The 19,833-nt window shown below is 42.1% G+C and overlaps 1 protein-coding gene and 1 long non-coding RNA gene across 7 annotated transcripts in view, besides 4 other annotated features; one reads left to right on the top strand and one right to left on the bottom strand.

The window, feature by feature from the left end:
• The window catches only part of UST (uronyl 2-sulfotransferase), a 329,961-nt gene that overhangs the window by 219,366 nt on the left and 90,762 nt on the right, over positions 1 to 19,833 (top strand). The window lies entirely within an intron of this gene.
• Positions 3,205 to 3,795: an enhancer, noted in NCBI's record as "H3K27ac hESC enhancer chr6:149290736-149291326 (GRCh37/hg19 assembly coordinates)". NCBI's record gives its function as "activates a minimal SCP1, AML or CMV promoter by ChIP-STARR-seq in naive and primed H9 embryonic stem cells {active_cell/tissue: H9 hESC(naive and primed)}" and the evidence as "EXISTENCE:reporter gene assay evidence [ECO:0000049][PMID:30033119]".
• Positions 3,796 to 4,386: an enhancer, noted in NCBI's record as "H3K27ac hESC enhancer chr6:149291327-149291917 (GRCh37/hg19 assembly coordinates)". NCBI's record gives its function as "activates a minimal SCP1, AML or CMV promoter by ChIP-STARR-seq in naive H9 embryonic stem cells {active_cell/tissue: H9 hESC(naive)}" and the evidence as "EXISTENCE:reporter gene assay evidence [ECO:0000049][PMID:30033119]".
• Positions 5,777 to 6,775: an enhancer, noted in NCBI's record as "H3K27ac-H3K4me1 hESC enhancer chr6:149293308-149294306 (GRCh37/hg19 assembly coordinates)". NCBI's record gives its function as "activates a minimal SCP1, AML or CMV promoter by ChIP-STARR-seq in naive H9 embryonic stem cells {active_cell/tissue: H9 hESC(naive)}" and the evidence as "EXISTENCE:reporter gene assay evidence [ECO:0000049][PMID:30033119]".
• Positions 13,771 to 14,272: an enhancer, noted in NCBI's record as "NANOG hESC enhancer chr6:149301302-149301803 (GRCh37/hg19 assembly coordinates)". NCBI's record gives its function as "activates a minimal SCP1, AML or CMV promoter by ChIP-STARR-seq in naive H9 embryonic stem cells {active_cell/tissue: H9 hESC(naive)}" and the evidence as "EXISTENCE:reporter gene assay evidence [ECO:0000049][PMID:30033119]".
• LOC124901424 (uncharacterized) lies at positions 15,278 to 17,052 on the bottom strand. Its single transcript, XR_007059805.1, has 2 exons — positions 16,872 to 17,052; positions 15,278 to 15,656 (listed from the first exon to the last, which is right to left on the bottom strand). It is a non-coding gene; the product is annotated as an uncharacterized LOC124901424 (long non-coding RNA).

The following is a 19,833-nucleotide window of genomic DNA, read 5'->3' on the forward strand; positions in this document are numbered from 1 at the left end:
GCTCTTTAAAAACAGCATACATTCCATTTAATCCAGACAATTTTTTCATAGTTCTGATTCAATCCTCATGCTAAGAAAGTTAGAACCAAAGGACAGCAGAAAATGCCAAAAAACCAACAATACAGAAACACGTCTTATGAACACTACTCTTCAAATATTAATGTAAGAGTTAAGAGGAATGCTCTAGCTTCTTCCGTTCTGTCAAGCTTCTGTTGCCATCCTGTAAATCATTTCATATAATGCAGTTTTCACACACTCACACAAATAATAAGCTGCAATCATTAGAGAGAAAGGTGGCAAATGTGAGGGGAAAAAATTATGGTTTGGAGTTTCCATTTGTTCGTTTTTGTTTTTGTTTTGAGACACAGTCTTGCTCTGTTGCCCAGGCTGGAGCGCAGTGGCAAGATCTCTGCTCACTGCAACCTCCACCTCCGGGGTTCAAGCGATTCTCCTGCTTCAGCCTCCCCAGCAGCTAGGACTACAGGTGCTTCCCACCACGCCTGGTTAATTTTTGTATTTTTAGTAGAGGCGGGGGTTTCACCATGTTGGCCAGGCTGGTCTCGAACTCCTGACCTAAAATGATCCACCCACCTCAGCCTCCCAAAGTGCTGAGATTACAGGTGTGAGCCACCGTGCCCAGCCTGGTTTGGAGTTTTTTTAAAAAGGTCATAAAATATTGAAAGTTGGTAGTTGGGGCAAGTGTTATATTTTTGAAGAGCTGGTAACTGCCTTTGTTATGTGACTTGAGAGATTGTAGAGAGATTTCCCTGCCTGGAATTCTGCCCTTAGAAATTTGTAGGGGCTCCTTTCCAAATGTAAGCACTGTGTTCGGGAAGGGTCTATGTCAGATGAGGTCATCAGATCGATCCTTGGCAAGGCCCCAGCAGGAAAGCACTGGGCTCCCCAAAGCAGCACAGCAGAAACTCGGGGGGGCTCAGATTCAAGAGAGGAGAGCCTGGTGGTGGGGGGGAGGGGTGTCCCCTTCATGATCTGGTTCCAGCCTGACCTGGTTAGAAGGCTGTCTTCTTGTTCAAAGGATAGTTTGTTTATTTGGAAGAAGATGGTCTATTGCCTTTTTTTAATAGCTGAAACTTTTAATTCCATCTCCTTGGTCCCATTAGACCCTTGAAATAAAATTGCCCCCTTTCAGAAGAGTCTGTCCTCATTTTGGCAAAGGCTGGGTAGTCAGTTGTTTGACTCAAAAGAGGGTGTTGTTTGTGTCTCAGCGGGGCGCAGGCAGCTGTGAGGAGCCCACTGTCCCCTCCTTGCCGGCCACCCCTCCCCTCGGAGGCCCTTCCCTGCACACCGCATGCCCACAGGGTCTTGGTTGCTGGCCTGAAATGAGTCTGCTGATTTACCACGTCATTCCAGATCTCAGTGCTCTAAAGCCCCTTGCTTTATCCCATTGCCAAAATTCGGGCAGTTCTGCCCCTGGCCCTGAGCCTCACAGAGCTGCTTAGCATACAGCTGGGAGTGGCCAGTGCCTGCCTCCAAGCCTGCTCTGAGGATGAAATAATATCATCTTGTGAGGCAGGGTGGTTTGGAAGAAAATGGAAAGGGTAAAGGAATCCTAGGATTTGCAGGAACCCCAAAGAGGATGAGGACTCTCTCATTTTACAGGTGTGGGAACGGGCCTGGGATTCGGGGTGGGGTAAAGTCCCTGCCAGGAGGAGAATCCAGACCTCCTGATTCCACTTCGGTGCTGTTTGCCCACTCAGACCTTATGTTCCTGAAGGGTAAAGGGAGAAGAGGACTGGGCCGAGTCCCACGCTTTTGAAGCAGAATCATTTGATGTAACATCGTCTCTCCATCTTTACAAAGACATCGCTGTTACAGCAATTTGTTTTCAAATATTCAAGCATCTTATAGCTATACCTTATTTTCTGGGAACAACTAGCTTTTCTCAAACTTTCTATTTCTTTCCAAACTCTTCTTCCTTTGCATTTCCTGGAAAATCATTTTTAAATAAATTAGTGCTCGCATAGATGCAAGTTCAACTTCTAGCAGCCATACTGTGAAAAGGCAGTTGTCTTAGGCTCATTTCTTTTTGTCCAGAGCTGGAAGCTCCCCAGTGTGGAGGTGGCTGCCTCCTTTTTGGGGGTGGGAGTCCTCTGAACCCAGGCACACTTGGACACATCCCAGCACCTGAGACTCTAATCCAGCTCATGTCCAGCCTCCTTTATTTCCAGGGTAGGGAAATACCTGGCACACAGACCATATTTAATGAATGGTGGAAAGCTTTTTCTAATGAAGAGCAACTGTTGTCATCTCCAGATGAGGGAGAGCATCTTATTCCTGCTGAAGCCACTCCCTTTTCCAGTCTTGGAGCTTCCATGAAAGTGGATTTCTTATGCTGTCATTTTCACCCTGCTGGTTACACATCAAGTTCTCAAAAATGTCAAATTGGGCTGCTGCCCTAACCATTATTGCCACTTCACTAGGCCATCCTCCATTTGAAGAATAGGAAGAAAAGGGAGAAAATCTTCCCAGAGAGAACACTGCCTCTGTGACACTGTTTATTCGGCTTGGCTGTAAAATGTGGAAAGTAATGCATGTTTAAAAGAAAAGATGTGTAATTTACAGCTTCTTAATTCATAAAGAATTCAGTGAATCATGTTGGCCCTGTTGGATTCTGGAGAAGTCTGAAAATTGGCCAGAGTCAGCAAAGGTTTTTAGAAAGCTATGCATTTTAATCTACTTGAAAGTTTTGGACTCTGAATGTCCTTTAACTTTGAAAGTATACATATGAAATACCAGCATGTGGAAATTTCCACTCTGTCCCAACCAGCTGAGACTGTCCTTTGAGCAAAAGAAACCTCAGGCATTGCCTCTATTTCTAAGGCATTGTTTTTCTTAAATAAATAAAATGAAGAAGGGCTTTGGATTGTCTGCTTTTTAAGTGTTTCAGTAAATATCTATGTTTTCCAAATACGTGACGGTAAGAAAGTTACGCTCTTGGTCTTCAACTAGTTCAAATTTAGCTTCCAATTGTAGGCTGAGCCAGGGGCCCAAGATAAGGTGTATTTATATTCCCTTCTCAGCTGCCTTAGCTGGGTGACTTGGATTTAGCCTCTGTGAACCTTGCTTGTCTCATCTGTACAATGGGACCATATTACCTACTTTGCCTGCATTACAGGGTTGTTGGGAGAGTCTATTGAGCATTCTACACAGAAGTGCTTTGGAAGCTAAAACTCTCCAAAACACATTTCAGTATTGATGCTCCCACCCCCTTGGCTCCGTTACTGGCTCCACATGACCTAAAGGGGCCATTTTTCCTCCAGACCTGGAGCTCCTCTGCTCAGGGAGTCCATAGAGGCTGCTGTTTTCCTGGGGCTCAGGACATACTGGGTCCTGAACCCTCAGGTCTGCTTCTGCTGTGGTCTCAAATTGCCTCACTAGATTCCTTCCCCCGGGAACCTGTTTCTAAGGAAACTACTTCTCTTTGTGTTCCCAACAGCTGGAGATGTGTTTTGATCCCAGCCCGCTGGCATACATTTGTCTTGTGTTTATTTACTTGGAAACCTAAGCTCCTGTAGGCCCTGGGTTGGAAAGTCATATACACGCGCACTCTCCCTCTCCGAGGAGTAACGAGAAAGGCACGCCAGAGCCGAATGCTCCGCCAGGCTGATGCAAGCCATCCAGGAGCATGGAGGACCAGGAAGCCCCAGCTTCAGAGATACGCTGCGAAATACATTTGTCCTGGGTGTATCTAAAGCAGGAGTCACAGGTGATTTTAGGACCAAAGGCCACTTCTGGGGGTTAGCAAGACCTGAGGGTATCCCTGGGAGTTTCAGGCAAACAGAAAACAAGATGGGTGAAGGAGGGGGCAAGGGAGGAGAGGAGGGACCAACAAAGGGATTTTGGAGCTAGAATAGAATGCTACCCCCTGCCACCTGTGCTACCACCAAACGGCAGCCATGTGTGTAGTGTGTAGCAGGTTAGCATGCTTTGCCTCATGTTAGGGTGTCCGCCCTCACAGCCTCTCCTGGCGTAGGTATGAGCACTCCTCATTCCCCTCTTATGAACCAGGATGGCGATCCCAGAGAGGCTGAGTGGTGGTGAAGATCAAACCACAAATAAGGGGAACTTGCATGAGGCTACCTTAGTTACAAGGGGCTTACGAGTCACCCAGGTTACCTCTGTATCAGGAGCCACGGGGCAGGAGAACTGTGGGAATGAAGACAAAAGGATTGCAGGCCAGTGAAGGCTAGGAAACGAATGCCAGGCAGAGCCAGGCCCCATGGGAAGCACATGAACCACAGCACAGCTAAGCCACACGGAAACCAGAAGTTGTTGAGACCTAGAGCCACTTCCAGCACCCAAGTGTCAGTGCCCAGGCTGCCCAGGGGTTCTCAGTTCTCTTCAGCCATCTTCAAAGACACCAACGGTGGGTTGAGCCCCTCTTATGCTTCACACCTCTCCTTCTACCATCTCATTTCTCTAGCCCAGCTGGAAAGGGCTCTCCACTTTTAAGGACTTATGTCATTAGATTGGGCTCACCCCGATAATCCGGCATAGTGTCCCCTCTCAAGGTCTGTAACCGTACTCACATTTGCAGAGTCCTTTTTGCCATACAAGGTAACATATTCACAGGTCCCAGGGATTAGGATAGGGACACCTTCGACGTCCATTATTTTGCCTACCACAGTGTCATCAAGGATAACTTAGCAGGGGGGAGAGGGGACTGTGGAGGGGACATGGGTGTGACAGGCATTCTGACACTTGGCTATGCCACTTATAAGTGCTCACCACTGTGCATTCTACTATGCAGTGGCACCAAACCATGGCTTTCCTGGCCCTAGTCTGCAAAACTAAGTGGCCAGTCATACATTTTTTTTTTTCTTCTACTAGTGACTCATCCACCAATCCATCCGTCATTCGTTCATTCACTCAATAAACATTGATTTAGTACTTTCTGTGTAGTAGGAGCTATTGTAGGAACTGGAAATAAAATGTTGAGCTAAAATGGACACTGTCAGTCCTCATGGAGCTCACAGACTGCCAGGGAGACAGGCATTCATCCCAAAACCATACAGATGTATGTGAAATAGTGGCTGCATCACATCCTACATGTAGGATGTAGGCTGCATCCTACAATGCAGAGACATGGCGCTGTCCAGGCATTGAATGGGGCAGTTGGCAAGTCTGGAAGTCAGAGAAGTGTTGGTTGAGCTATATCTGAAGGGAAAGAGGAGAAGGAAGAACACCCAGGCATAGGGCACATACAAAGCCCTGTGGCAGAAGGGAACACAGCACGGAGGAAGAACCAGGGAAGCTGCAGCAGGGCGAGCTGAGGAAGAAAGGAAAGAGCTGGGTGCAGTGATGTGGGCAGGCAGGTGGTGGGCCCCACAGAGCCTCCCAGACCATCTTAAAGATCCCTGGGGAGGCACTAAAGGACTTAAAGCAAAAGAGGCATGTTTACAGGACATCCTGAATCTTTTACATTTTGTGGGAGGAATCACTTTGGCTACAACATACAGAGTACAGAAGGGCTTCAAGTCGATGTGGATAGACCAGCTAGATAGATCAGAGGCTACTGCAGTGATCCAAGTGCAAGATAAACCAAGGAGGAAGTTTTTATGGGACATCAACCATGTGCAAAGAGCAGCTCCAGGTGGGGTCAGGGGCAGCAATGAGGGAGCAATTACAAAGACATTGAAGACTCATTGCTGTGCTTCCAGTTGCTTGCCGCCTAGTTAGCAACAGAAGACCCAAACTTGAAAAGCTTAATACCAAGAAGGAGATATTAATAATAGCTCAGTGCAGCCATATAGGACTTGTCATTGGCTGGGATGTGTTAAATTAGCAATCTGAAAATTGCGGGGAGGAACGAAATCAGCAAGAGTTGGGGTTGTTGGGAGCGGCTTCCCAGAAAAGGAGAGGCGGACAGAGGAGAGGTGGGTGCTGTCTTTAGGGGTAGAAGAAGATGCAGCAGAAGTAAGGCTCTGGGGACAGCAGGAGGGGACTGTTCCAAGTGAAGTGACACTTTAGAAAGTGTGTAAAAGCCTGAGAGCAAGAGGCTCACTCTGGTGAACCGCCTATTTGGCAGGAGCGGAGGGCTTAGGGAGGTGAGGAGCTTGGGTACAGTAAAGTGTTTCTCCAGATGTCCCAGTTGTGGGGGAAGCAACGCTGCTCTGATGGCTGCCAAGGCAGGTTTGCCTGACCTGCTGTCTCCATGCAAGGTCCCATCAGGAGCACGCACCGCAAGGGCCGCCAGAGCACAGCCAGGTGCATCCGCCGGCCACCTGTCAGCTGAGCTCATCTGCTGTGAGCCCCGCCCCTCGCTGTGAGTCAGCGGAGCTGCTGCAGCTGTGTCCCGCCGCTGGCGCTCAGCGCTGCACCCCTACTGGGGCAGGTGGCTAACATTTATTAAGGCGGTGGTTCTCAGCCTTGGCCACTTGTGGAGGCTTTAAAAACTACTGATTCCTGGGTCCCACACCCGAAAGTTCTGGTTTAATAGGTCTAGGGTGCAGCCTGGGCTTTGGGATTTTTTTTTTTTTTAAGCTTCAGAAGTGAGGCCAATGTGTAGCTGAGGTTGAGAACTACTGAGGAATTAACAACGTATCCGTTCCTGACTGTATTAGCAGGAGCTGTTTTCACTGAGAGAAGCACCCCCTGAATGCCTTATGGAAGCTTACCTTCTTATCCTCTGCCCATTTGGAAAAACCTGCATTTGCCTTCTTCCCCTTAGACATTTTTATTTGTTAGGCTTTTCATTGGCATATGCAAATAAATGTCATTAAAGAGGTTTGATGATATAGTGCAATATTATGTGTTGTATTTATGAATATTCTATAAATGTCTTAAGTCAGACTTTCTTCTAAAGTTGAAGTAAATAATATTTCTTATCCAGAAACCAAGGTGTGCATTATAGTATACATTTCAGATCTCACTTTAGGAAGCCATGCTTTAAACAGTAAAACAGAATGAGCACTTTGATGAATAAAATATTTTAGCATCTGGACATCTTTTTATTTAGGTTGACGAGGCACTTGGAGTCCATTGCCATCTCTTCAAAGAGACATGTGACATTCTTTAAATGCAGGCCAATTCATACAAAGACATGTAAATGCTAAATTAAAAGATGTGGGTGAGTAGAACTACATTTTAAATGCAGTCAGGAAATGTTCTCTGAATGCAGTCAGAGGTCTTGCTATTGAAAGAAGCGATGGGATGAAGTTTTATATAAAGTAAAAAACTAATGGCTCCATTTAACTTTGTTAACATTTTGAATTTTATACCCCACACTTATTTTTGCAGAAGTTGGCATGCCTCTATAGTTGTCCTCAATTGCTTTGCCATTTGTAATATTTTTTTCCCTACCCAGCTGTTTTACATACACAGTATAAATTCCCCAAAGGCTGAATGATCTCCAAACGTGTTCTTCAAAATATTTTGCAAAGTCTGAAGACAGGAAAAGTAAGTGTAAAACATCTAAGAGATTTGTTGGAATCTCAGCTTGAATTCTAATTGCGAGTACTTATGAAAATGTCAATATTAACATGAAATAGCTGGCAGTTTTTCTAATAAATGTAAATTGAATTAGATAGTGTGTAATTGGAAAAATACTTGCTTCACTCAGGCTTCTCAAAACAAGACTCAGGATTTGTTAGCTGCGGCAGCCTTGCCCTCTAATGGCTGGAAGTTGAAGGACAGGACTAAAATACTTTTGACTATAAGGAGGATGGAAACTAAGAAGAGGGAATGTCTGACCATTTGTCACCATATTGAGGGCTTCTTCCCAAAGCATGGGGCATGATGTCGATGTTAGCATGAGCTTATTATTAAAAGGAGGTGGGTAGGTGGGGAGCCAAGGCCATGCTAAGTATCTTGGAGCTTCAGAATAAGCTTGGATAGAAACAGGTATTATAGATGCCTAATCTCCTGAAATGCAGTTGAAAGTTCAAACTTGCCTTATAATATTAAAAAAAAAAATACCCGAACAAGTTATACAATAAATAATCTAGCCTGGACATTGTGATGGTCTGGTTTATAGTCATTGAGATTTGCTAAGCACATGTAACAAACAACGTTTGTTCCCTTTTCTGATTGACCAATGAGTGTTTCAGACAGAGTAGAAATGATACCAGTAGAAGTGGTTTGGCAGAAATTTCATAAGAAGTTTGATTTCATCCCATGTTCTTTCTGGGAAAGCAGCCAGGAATAAATGGAACAGGTGGGGTCTTAACTGGCTACAAAATCACACAGCCTCTAGAACAAACCGCTTTTTCTCTGATCCTAAACCCATGCAGATATTCACAGTTGAATGAAAGAATTTTAACCAAAGCTTACTCAATTTCATGACAAGCAAAGCTTTTAAAACACCGATCTGCAAGAAGCCCCAGCCGCCTAATGGGTAAGGCATTGGCTCCTAAAAAATGGCTCTGCATTTCATATTACAAAGTAAAAACACAATGGAATTGTATCAACATTCAGCTAAAAGTTTGCATATGCATCTCCCTTTGCATTAGAGGTGAAATAACACTGGTTTGACTTTTATAGTAAGACTGCTGTCCCGTTACCCTCTGCAGAGCATTATTCACTCACTTCCGGGTTTTGTAATTAACCACTTGGATAAGACTTGTAGAAAGAGTCAGCAGATGTATAAGACAAAGTTATCAAGTTCAACAACTAAAAAGGAAACTTTGATGATAAATGTCAGGTATAATCGATGGCATTCTATGTCTTATCACTATTAATAAAAACCCTGTGAGATTAAGACAAGGGTCCTAAACCAAGGCAATAAAATTAGCCGAGACCAGTCTTGATGACCGCTCATCTTTATTTCTCTTGGTAACTATTACTCAGGTATTTCTTTTTTACATTCTCATACATTGCTTTTTAAACCCTTCAAATTATTTCATGTCTGTAAGTCTTATGTTTTGAACTAAAATGTAACTTGATAATAGAATATCATCTTGTCTCTCAGTACCTGTCACAGCTCCCTGTTAAACACCCAATAACAGATGCGAGGATGTGTGGAGCTCCAACGATGTTTGCCTCTTTTCCCTACTTGCACGTGCAATTTCAACATATTCTGAACACCTGTAATGTGCCAGATACTGTCAACCTGTCTCCAGTTCATCTTCTTCCAATCCATGATCAAAGTGTCCAGTGTGTATCTGACTTTGTCATTGTCTTGCTTAAAACACTCCTATGTCTTTCTGATCTTTAAATGTAATATTAGCTATCATCATTATAATAATAATATTATTATTTGATCAAAGAGCCTCACAACTGCATGTGAATTTACAGTTATCTCAATAAAATTTCAGTTAGAAAAAAAGCATCATGCACCAATAGAGAAAAGATAGGTTTATGAATAAATAGTGTAGGAAAAATTAGACCGTTAAGGAACCCAACATACATCAAATAAATTCAGATGGATTAAAAAGGTAAAATGTGAGAAATCAGAAGGATGTGTATCTGAGCCACGGAGGCTGTGAGTTGTCTATCCTGTGGAAGGAGACATGACTGAGCTAGAGGATGGCAAAGCATATAGGCAATGGAAGAAATCACAAAAGAAATGAATTTTAGATTTGTCTTTAGATAATTTAACAGTTTATTTCACAAAAAGGCATTATAGGCAACATTAACAGGCAAATCGAATGGAGACAATATTTACAAATATGACAAAGAATTTATTCTTAAAGATATTAAGATATAAGAAGTCTTATAAATCAGTAAAAAAAAGACTAATTCCCCATTGAAAAATTACAAGTAAAATTCCGGATAATCTAAAAAATGCTCAGCCTCATCTATAATTTTTGAACTGCAAATTAAAGCAATATGTCACTTTTAAGGTATTAAACTGGCAGAGACTTCAGAAATTATAAGTAGTGGTATGCTCATAAATGTTTAATAACCACCTCTGGCGGGGGTGGGGGGTTGTTTTGTAACTTTGCCAATTTCTGTGGTGTCAATACTTCTCACCATGGTGATTTCAAACTACGAACATGACATCACTGAATACAGCAGAGTTAAGAGATGGGCATTTGCCTCTTATAAGCTGTTACTATCTGGCTCCAGCACATTTCCAATTCATACTCTGCTGTCAAGGGTACATCAGAATGGACATGTCCATGTATTTCTGGTATCAGGATTCCGGGAGCGTGGTCCATCTTGTGCATCATTCAATTCCTCCGCCCTTCACCTGCACACCATGTCATCATACGTTTTTATCTTTGCCAGGCTGAGAGATGAGAAATTATGTGTCAGTAGGATAAGTTGCATTTCTCTCGTTATGAGTGAAGTTGAGCATCTTCTCACATGTTTAAGAGGCATTTGTATTTTCCTTTCTCATCTTATCATTGCCCATTTTGCTAACATTCTGATCTCTAGAAACTTTTCAGAAAATTACAGAAATTTGCCCACTATTTTTGATATAAATTGCAAGTATTGTTTTCCTAGTTAGTAATCTCTTTTAACTTTCTTTGTGATGTTTTTTACATGCAGAATTTTATTTCTTTGTGGTCAAATTTATCAACCTTTTTCTTTTTATGGCTTCTGAGTTTTGTGTTATACTCAGAAGGATCTTATTAACTCTGAAACTATAAAAAATATTCTCCATGGTGTCTTCTAGAGTTTTGTTGTTATTCATGTTAAATTAAAATCTTTAATACTTCTGAAATTTATTCTGGTGTCAGGTATAACATATCAATGTAGTTTCTTTTTTTTCCAGATGGCTAACAAACTATCCCATTTATACAATAATTTGTGTTTTCCTCATTAAAGTATCACCTTTATTATATGAGAAATTCTTGGTTTTAGAGGGATCTGTTTTTTCTTTTGGCTTTTATTTTGTTCCATTAATGTGTATCTTTATATACAGAACACTATTCTATATATTTATATATATACACACTGTTGTAACCTATTGTATAATTACATAATACATAGTTTTATTATGTAATATGCAATAGTATAATTATATAATATAGAGTGACTATTTATATATACATTTTATTATCTGGCAGGGTCCAGTCTTTCCTCTTTACTCAGCTTTTTCCCCAATTGTCCTAGGTCTTTGTCTTTGTTCATTTTTCCTTAGGAACTTTAAAATCAGCTTGTTCAGGGTCGGGCGTGGTGGCTCACGCCTGTAATCCCGGCACTTTGGGAGGCCAGGGCGGGCGGATCATGAGGTCAGGAGATCGAGCCCATCCTGGCTAACATGGTGAAACCCCGTCTCTACTAAAGATACAAAAAAATTAGCCGGACGAGGTGGCGGGTGCCAGTAGTCCCAGCTACTCGGGAGGCTGAGGCAGGAGAATGGTGTGAACTCGGGAGGTGGAGCTTGCAGTGAGCCAAGATCGCGCCACTGTACTCCAGCCTGGATGACAGAGTGAGAATCTGTCTCAAAAAAAAAAAAAAAAAAAAGAAAAGAAAATCAGCTTGTTCAGCCGTCCGCTACCCCCACCCCACATTCATACCCAGAATACCCTGTGTGTTGGGTTTACTTTGAGCTTTAGATTAAGGTAGGGAGGATTGACGTCTGTATGTGGAGTCTTATTATTTGAGAATGTATTTTGCCTTTCCATTTGCTCAGAACTTCTGTTATATCTCTCCAGAGTTTTAAAGTTTTCTTCATTTAGATCTTGCACATTTCTTAAGTTGATTTCTAGATATTTGGTTTGTTGTTGTTGTAATTTTACATATTATTACTGTTACTAATTTCTATATATTACCTTTAACTCAGTCACCTTAGTAAGTGAATTCTATGTTTGTCAAGAAATTTTCACAGATTATTTTCAGTTTACCAGATAAAATTATATCCCCAGGTGATAATTTTATCTTTCTTTTTTCTAGTTTTTATAACTCTTATCCATTTGTTTTTGTTGTATCTCTAGAACAGTGTTAAATATAATGTTGATAAAAATGACCCAGCAATCCCATTACTGGGTATATACCCAAAGGATTATACATCACATACATTTTATAGTATATAGTCTTTACATAGGCTGTAAAGACACATGCACATGTGTGTTTATTGCAGCATTGTTTATAATAGCAAAGACTTGGAACTAACCCAAATGCCCATCAGTGACAGACTAGATAAAGAAAATGTGGCACATATATACCGTGGAATACTATGCAGCCATAAAAAAGAATGAGTTCATGTCCTTTGCAGGGACATGGATGAAGCTGGAAACCATCATCCTCAGCAAACTAACACAAGAACAGAAAACCAAACACCGCATGTTCTCACTCATAAGTGGGAGTTGAACAATGAGAACACATGGACACAGGGAGGGGAACATCACACACCGGGGCCTGTCAGGGGTTGGGGGGAAAGGGGAGGGAGAGCATTAGGACAAATACCTAATACATGCGGGGCTTAAAACCTAGATGACAGGTTGATAGTTGCAGCAAACCACCATGGGACGTGTATACCTGTGTAACAAACCTGCACGTTCAGCATATGTATTCCAGAACTTAAGGTAAAAATTTTTTTAAAAAAAAATTGGTTTCTCATAGAAGTCAGATAATTGAAGTAAAAGTTAAATTGCTAATTGCCAAATTTCGCTCATTTCTACTTTTATTCTACTAGAGTATGATGTCTAGGATCCAGATCCTTTGGGATTTCATCTCAGGGAGAATATAAGCAGCATCAGTCTCAACAACTAGTAATAGAAAAACCTAAGGAAAAAGACAAAGATTATCATATTAACACCCCTCGGCCCCGCATGCACCTGTAACCTACGTGTCCTTTTTGATAACCCACCACTTCCAGAGTGGCTTCATTGTCAACCACCTGTGTCACCAGAGTAAATTCAAGTGTGTCCTTTCTTGAGGTTTCTGGACTGGATGTTGTCTTGTGTCCTTTCCCATGGGTGTGGTTTCCCTGGCAGTCAGTTCCTCAGTGACCACATTTAACAAATTGTAATAAATGCAGACTAGAACCATAATTCACAGTTTTGCAATACAAAGGAAAGATGAAAAACAACTGGAGGCTTAAAGTCCTGTGAGATACCCATTTTACCTTGCTTTAATTACGGCAGCAGATGTAAATTTGATTTGCCCCAAGCCTAGGTGGTCTTTGGCTAGGGCTCATTCACCTCTGACACAGAGACCCCACATCTCCCTGACTTCTGTTGAAGAAGTACTGGGAAGGTCTTTGAATGGACCCTGAGCACACTTGACATTGGAAAAGGGAGAAATCTTTGACTAAGACCCTGTACTTTGAGCAGTTTTCAGTCCATCCATTCAGCTACAAATGTGGAAGCAAATATGCCAAGGTCCTTGAAAAGAATGTTGATGCTTGATTGCACGATGTTTCCCTTTAAAGTTTTGGCCTTGAGAACTTCAAAGTGATGACACTGTTCTTCCTGCCATGCCCGCTCTTAGCTCTGTGTGGTCAGTAAGCAGCGACTCTTATTTTTCTTTTATTTTTGGAAACTAAGTTGGAGTGAGGGCATAAACCCCCTCACTTGAATTGTTTTGGCTTAAGATGTATCTGAGATTTTAACTTTGTTATTTCCAGCTGCTTCCCTCATTAAATTTAGGTCATTAATTTCATAAATCAGCATATGCCTTTTACTTTTATGTGCAAAGCCCAGGTGTTAAAGCTCGAGTAACTCTTTGTTTGGAATGGTGGGTTTCGTATCTGGCCCATCCCAAATGGGCTTATTGTGCCTCACAATATTTCTTTCCTTCCCTAAGTCCTTTGGTCCTTCATCTTTATCAAGGACTCACAGTCTCTCTTGGGTATCCGATAAGAGTTTGTACGGTCAGTTTCGTACATCTTGCCTAATCTATTTTTGTCCAATATGATTGCTTGTTACTTAAAACTTTGGAATAACCTACATATATCACCTATATACCATGCTCCTGATTTTTTAAAAAGAGTTATTTCCTTAATCTAGTCAGTCCAATCAGCAGTGAAATTCTTTTTATTTTTTTCTTAGAATGTCTCTCAGATGTCCCCATCTTCTCTCCACGGCTGCTGCCAACACCACAGTCTTTAACTTTTTTCAACTCTCCCATACCTCCTAACTGCTCTCCTCAAATTCCAGACATTCTCCCTCTCTTTCAGCTTTTGCATAGTGCTGCCAGATTAGCCTCCCAAAGCAGCACTTCACATCATATCGTTTAATTTCTTGCTTAAGAAGCTTGGTGACTTTTGCCCACTGTGGTGAATTCTACAGGCCTTTCTCTGTCTTTCAAGGCTCTTAACAATCTGGACCTATCCTGCCAGCCCTGACATATTGCTTTCCCAAATAAACGCTAATCCAACCAAGCTTCTGACATCATCTTTCAGAAAAAGCTCATCCTCATCTCTATTCTTGTCCTTATGCTGATAACCTAAGTTGAAAGGCCTTTTTTGTCTTTTTCTTCTTTTTTTGAGACAGGATCTTCCTCTGTTGCCTAGGTTGGAGTGCAGTGGTTGGGATCTCAGCTCGCTGCAGCCTCTACCTCCCAGGTTCAAACCATCCTCCTCCCTCAGTCTCCCAAGTAGCTGGGACTACAGGCACAAGCCACCACGCCTGACTAATTTTTGTAATTTTTTTTTTGTAGAAATGAGGTCTCACTGTGTTACCCAGGCTGGTCTCAAACTCCTAAGCTCAAGTGATCCTCCCACCTAGGCCTCCCAAAGTGCTGGGATTAAAGGCATGAGTCACCACACCTGGCCGGAAAGACCACCTTTGTCTTTTTTCTCTCCACCTCCTATCCATCGTTCAAATTCTCATCTGCAGTCTCTCATGATCCCAGCCTTTGAGATGTTCTCCCTTTTCTAGAATTCCAGTTGCCCATGTGCTTTACACCATTTCTTTTTCCTGAAGTCACACTATATTCCAGGTACTGTTTAGCACTAGAATCCTCAACTTAATCCTCACAATGATCTTATGAAAAGGTGTGACTGTGATCTTATTTTAGAGTTGAGAATCCTGATGCTCAGAGAGGTTAAGTAACTTGCCTACAGTGAAGCCGCCTCCATTAAGTGATAAAACCAGGATGCTCACCCAGGCAGACAGGCTTCAGAAACCTTGTTCTTAACCACTATGCCAAACTGCTTCTTTTTGTCCTATGTGACACTGTCATTGATTCCTTAGTCCTTCCCAGCCTGACTGTCAGCTCCTGAAGGGCAGGTGCCATCTTCACTGCTTTATTTACATCCCATTGCCTCCGTGGAGCTTATTGCATAGGAAGGTCTTAGAATTTGCTGCATGTGGGTAGGGAACTTTCCTGTCTTTTTCACCTGTACTTCTTCAGCACCTAAACACACACACAGGGTCTGACACATAATAAGAGCTCAAAAATTATTAGCTCAGTAAATGACTAAGTGCATACATATTTGATTTATTCACAGTTTGAAAAATATATGATCACATCAGTGCATCCTTTGCATATTTTTCATTCATATAAATGTGCATATCTGTATTTCCTGTGCAAGCATCTCCGGTGCCTCTGGGTCACTGCTGTTGATTAAGCTGGACACGTCTTTCTAGGCCATAAAATGGATGTGTCTTTATCTGTTTGTGCTGCTGTAACAAAATACCTGACACTGGGTAATTTATAAAGAAAAGAAATTTCTTTCTCACAGTTCTGGAGACTGCTAAGTCCAAGATCAAAGTGCCAGCAGGTTCAGTTGTCTGGTGAGGGCTTCTGTCTGCTTCTAAGATGGTTCTTCTGGAGGAGAAGCATGCTATGTCTTCACACTGAAAAAGGCAGAAGGGCAAGCGAGTGAACTCCCTCCATCAAGCCTTTTTTGTTTTTTTTTTTTGAGATGGAGTCTTACACTGTCACCCAGGCTAGAATGCCATGGTGCAATTTTGGCTCACTGCAACCTCTGCATCCTGGGTTCAAGTGATTCTCCTGCCTCAGCCCTCCAAGTAGGTGGGGCTACAGGCGTGCACCACCACACCTGGCTAATTTTTTTATTTTTAGTAGAGTCGGGGTTGCTCCATGTTGGCCAGGCTGGTCTCGAACACTTGACCTCAAATGATCCGCCCAACTCGGCCTCCCAAAGTGCTGGGATTACTGGCATGAACCACTGCACCCAACCTGTCAAGCCCTTTTGTAAGGCCACCTAGTCCCATTCACAAGGGAAGAGATCCCATGGCCCTTCACCTCTTAAAGGCCCACCTCCTAATACTATGACATTGGCAACACCTGAGTTCTGGAGTGACCACATTGAAACCATAGTAGGATGCTTTGTATCCTCAGCAAAGTTAATTGTTGCTTGTTCAATCTTACAGTTTCTACCCAGGGCACAGAGGGTCTCAGAGTACATCACTCCATTATAGCTGATGAAATTAAGCTACACCAGTTTACTCAAACTAATACGTTATTATCAAAAAGAAGCACTTCTGTTATGCTTAGCAGCCTTAACAGTGCTTTTAAACTTGAGGTTTATGAGCACTTGCTTTTAGATACTAATCATTACAGGTAAGTAAAATGTTGTCATTAGTCCAACAAATCTTCAGAATTTAATTTTCAAAAAGGTTTCCTTTTCCTGGGAAAGCTCTTCTAAACTGGGGCAAGATATTATTTGTTTCATTCCCTGTACCTAAAACTACTTGGGCCTCCCTTTTTAATCCAGTATTGATTTAAATGTTTTTGATAAAAGACACCTCATTTAATTCTCTCTAAATGTGATTAGAGAAAGTCAGGTTTCTGCAGAGCACAGTCTGTATTTAATTTATTTGCAAAGCCATATTGAGCACTGAGAATTTTAAGATTCAGTCAAAATAAATAATTTTACATTACGGCATCAGTTAACACCAAGTTTTCAAAGGGCTTTTCGCTTTAAAAAACTCAAAACACCTCATTAAGTCAACCGTCTTCCAAGAATGTGCTATTCACCAAGATAGCCTTATTAGTCCCTTTTTGCAAGTGACAAAGCTGTGGCAAGAAACAATTAAACATCTTACCAGCGGCTCTTGGAATGGAGTCTTACTGGGTAGGCCCTTGACCTGTGAGCCTACCGTCATTGGCACAGTAGAATAGGAGGCTAGGAACAAGGCAGGAATGAAAACAATCAGAAGCAAGAAGCCAAATGGAAGAACAGGATTCGTCATCAAGGTCTTTTAACATGGGATCCCATGGAGTTGATAAAAGGAAAAAAAAATCATACCTCAATTAGTCATAATATTTCAAGGCAGAAAAGAAACATAGAGGTTATCTCATCTCAGCCAGTCATTTGAGTTGTTACGGCTGGAGCAGGAGGGTTGGAAATGTCACACAGAGTTAACTCCTGCTATCATGCTGCCAGCAAAGGCTGAGCCCTATGGGGTGTTTACCAGGAAAAGCGAATGTAGGAAATAAAATGTCAAGAAGAAATTTGTGAAGTACAAGAATGTCTGAAAAGAGCGTATGTTAAGTTCTGAAACAAAATGATAAAACTCAGAAGTGACAGCTGTTACCTAAACTTTTCCAATGTGTTGTTCACCAATCTACTTCTGAAGACAGCCTAGTGCAACCTCATTCCTTGTCCAGAAAAGGAGGACGTAGTCTTCAAGGTGACCAAATCACCATAGGAGACCCTATCACCACCACCCCCACATCACACAGTGTACACATGCATGTGTACAAACACACGATAACATCGATGCCAGTGGCTGAAATTTGACTTGTTCTTTTTTTAAAAAATTAAACTGTTCTTCCTGGGTTTTTTCCTTTAACTATAAATAAACCCGGTGGGTCTGGCATTTTGTTACCAACATCTTTTCAGGAACCTACCCATCTGCAACTGATTATTATATACATCATGTGCATAAATGTTTAGACTACTTATATTCAGATATGGTCAATTCCTTCATTCTTCCTTTCAACAAATGCACAGCACCTACTCTGTAGCCAGCCCTTTAGCAGATGTTGAGAATGCACTAATGAAAAACACAGATGTGGTTCTAGCCCTCCCAGAGTATATAATCTATCAGGGAAAACAGACATTAAACAAGTATTGGGAGAGATGATCAGGCTGTGGGAACAATACGTGCATAGGTCAAGGGTCCCAAGTACTGCAAGAATCTCATATGGATGAGAACAGGGGTGTGATATGAAAGCTGGAGAGGTGGGCAATAGATCAATCATCAAAGCCCTTAAAAAGATATTCTAAATATTTGAAGCTTTATGCTAAAGACAATAAAAAGTCCTAGACATCATGACATGATAGGATTTGCATTTATTTATTTATTTTTAATTAATTTGTTTTTTAGAGACGGGATCTCACTCTGTCTTGCAGGCTGGAGTGCAGTGGCACAATCATAGCTCACTGCAGCCTCAAACCCCTGGGCTCAAGCAATCCTCCCACCTCAGCCTGCCAAGTAGCTCGGGCTATAGGTGTGCACTACCCTAGCGAATGGGGCCTTGCTGTGTTTCCCAGGCTGGTCCTGACTCCTGGCCTTGAGCCATCTTTCTGCCTTGGCCTCCCAGAGTGCTGGGATTACAGGCATGAGCCACTGCACTCAGCCAAGATTTTCATTTAGAAAATCTTGCAAGGGGAGGATGTTTGGAGTAGAGCAAAATAAACTATTTTGGTTTGAAATAGGATTGTCATGGTACATGAGACCAAGAGGAATGGATAAAGACATGTCTATGTAATAAGATCAACAATTGTTTCATGAGTAATTGGCTATGGAGCTAAAGGATGAAGAGGCGTTCAGGATGATTCTAGGTTTCTAGTTGGAGTAAGCTGATGCAAGGTACTGCTGAGGGTAGGGAATAACGGGACGGATGTGCAGGAAAAATAAATTCTGCTTTGGATATGCTGAGTTTCAGGTGCTTGCAGTACATATGAATGGAGACACCCAGCAGGCAGAAAAGTGGGCTGTGCTGAATATGTGGAATTGGAAGTTATCAGTATCCAAAGAGAGGGTAATCAATCTACTAAAATATTCTGTGAAGGTTGAGATCATGTCTGGAACAATGTTGGTGCTCAGTAATTATCTGCTGAAGTTGTTGAATTAGAGCCATGGGGTGCGTATCAGGGATGAGGATAAAAGAGCCCAGAGTCACCCATTTTTTAGCACCAACTGAGGACTTTGAAGCAAAACAACAACAACAACAACAACAAAAACTGAACAAGAGTCCCAGGAAGAGTACAATATAGAGGTGTGGTGGTGTCAGAGAATCAGAGGAAAAAAGTTCTGAGAGGTTCATGACTGTCAGAAGCTTCAAGGAAGAATATCTAAAATGAGAATAGAAAACGTAACCATTAGATTTCTACTAATCTTGGCAAGAGCAGTTTCCATTTAGTGACAAGGGTAGAAGCAAGATGGATATGCAGATGGGGCAAGAAAGATGTGGAAAAAATGAAGATAGTGGTGGGGAAGTCTGGTCTGCATTGGCCTGGTGAGGCATGCAGAGGTATGCGTGGGATTGTCACGTTCTCTTTCAGGATCACTTACCAAAGGAAGAGGTAGGTCCTCAGAACCTAAAGCGCAAGGAGATTCCACATTACTCTTCTCTTAAAAAACAAATACTATTGAGCACATACCATATACACAACCTAAAGGGCTTCTTCAAGATGCAGATACCAAGATGAGATTGGATGTGCAAGAGATTTATTGGGGGAAATGCCTGTGAAGGGAAAAGGAGGCAGGAAGAGCCATCAAACCCATAGTAGATCTGATTCCTATAAAGAACAGGGGAAGGACTATTGGGTAAGGAGAGCCTCAGAACACAGTGTAGTTTTAAGAAAGTTTCAGTCAGGCCAAGGGGAAGTTGTCAGCCAAAGTCATTCATCAGAGGAGTCCTGTGTGTTGCAGGAATGGGCCTGCCTTAGACAACTTGTCACACTAGTCACTGCCTGATATTAGCCTACGGGAAGCATGCCCTTGGCACAAATGAGGTGATAAAATCGAACAAAGCAGCTGGGACCATTGGTTACTT

This window comes from Homo sapiens, chromosome 6 (genome assembly GCF_000001405.40).
Source record: "Homo sapiens chromosome 6, GRCh38.p14 Primary Assembly".
In the NCBI taxonomy this organism is placed as follows: Eukaryota; Metazoa; Chordata; class Mammalia; order Primates; family Hominidae; genus Homo; species Homo sapiens.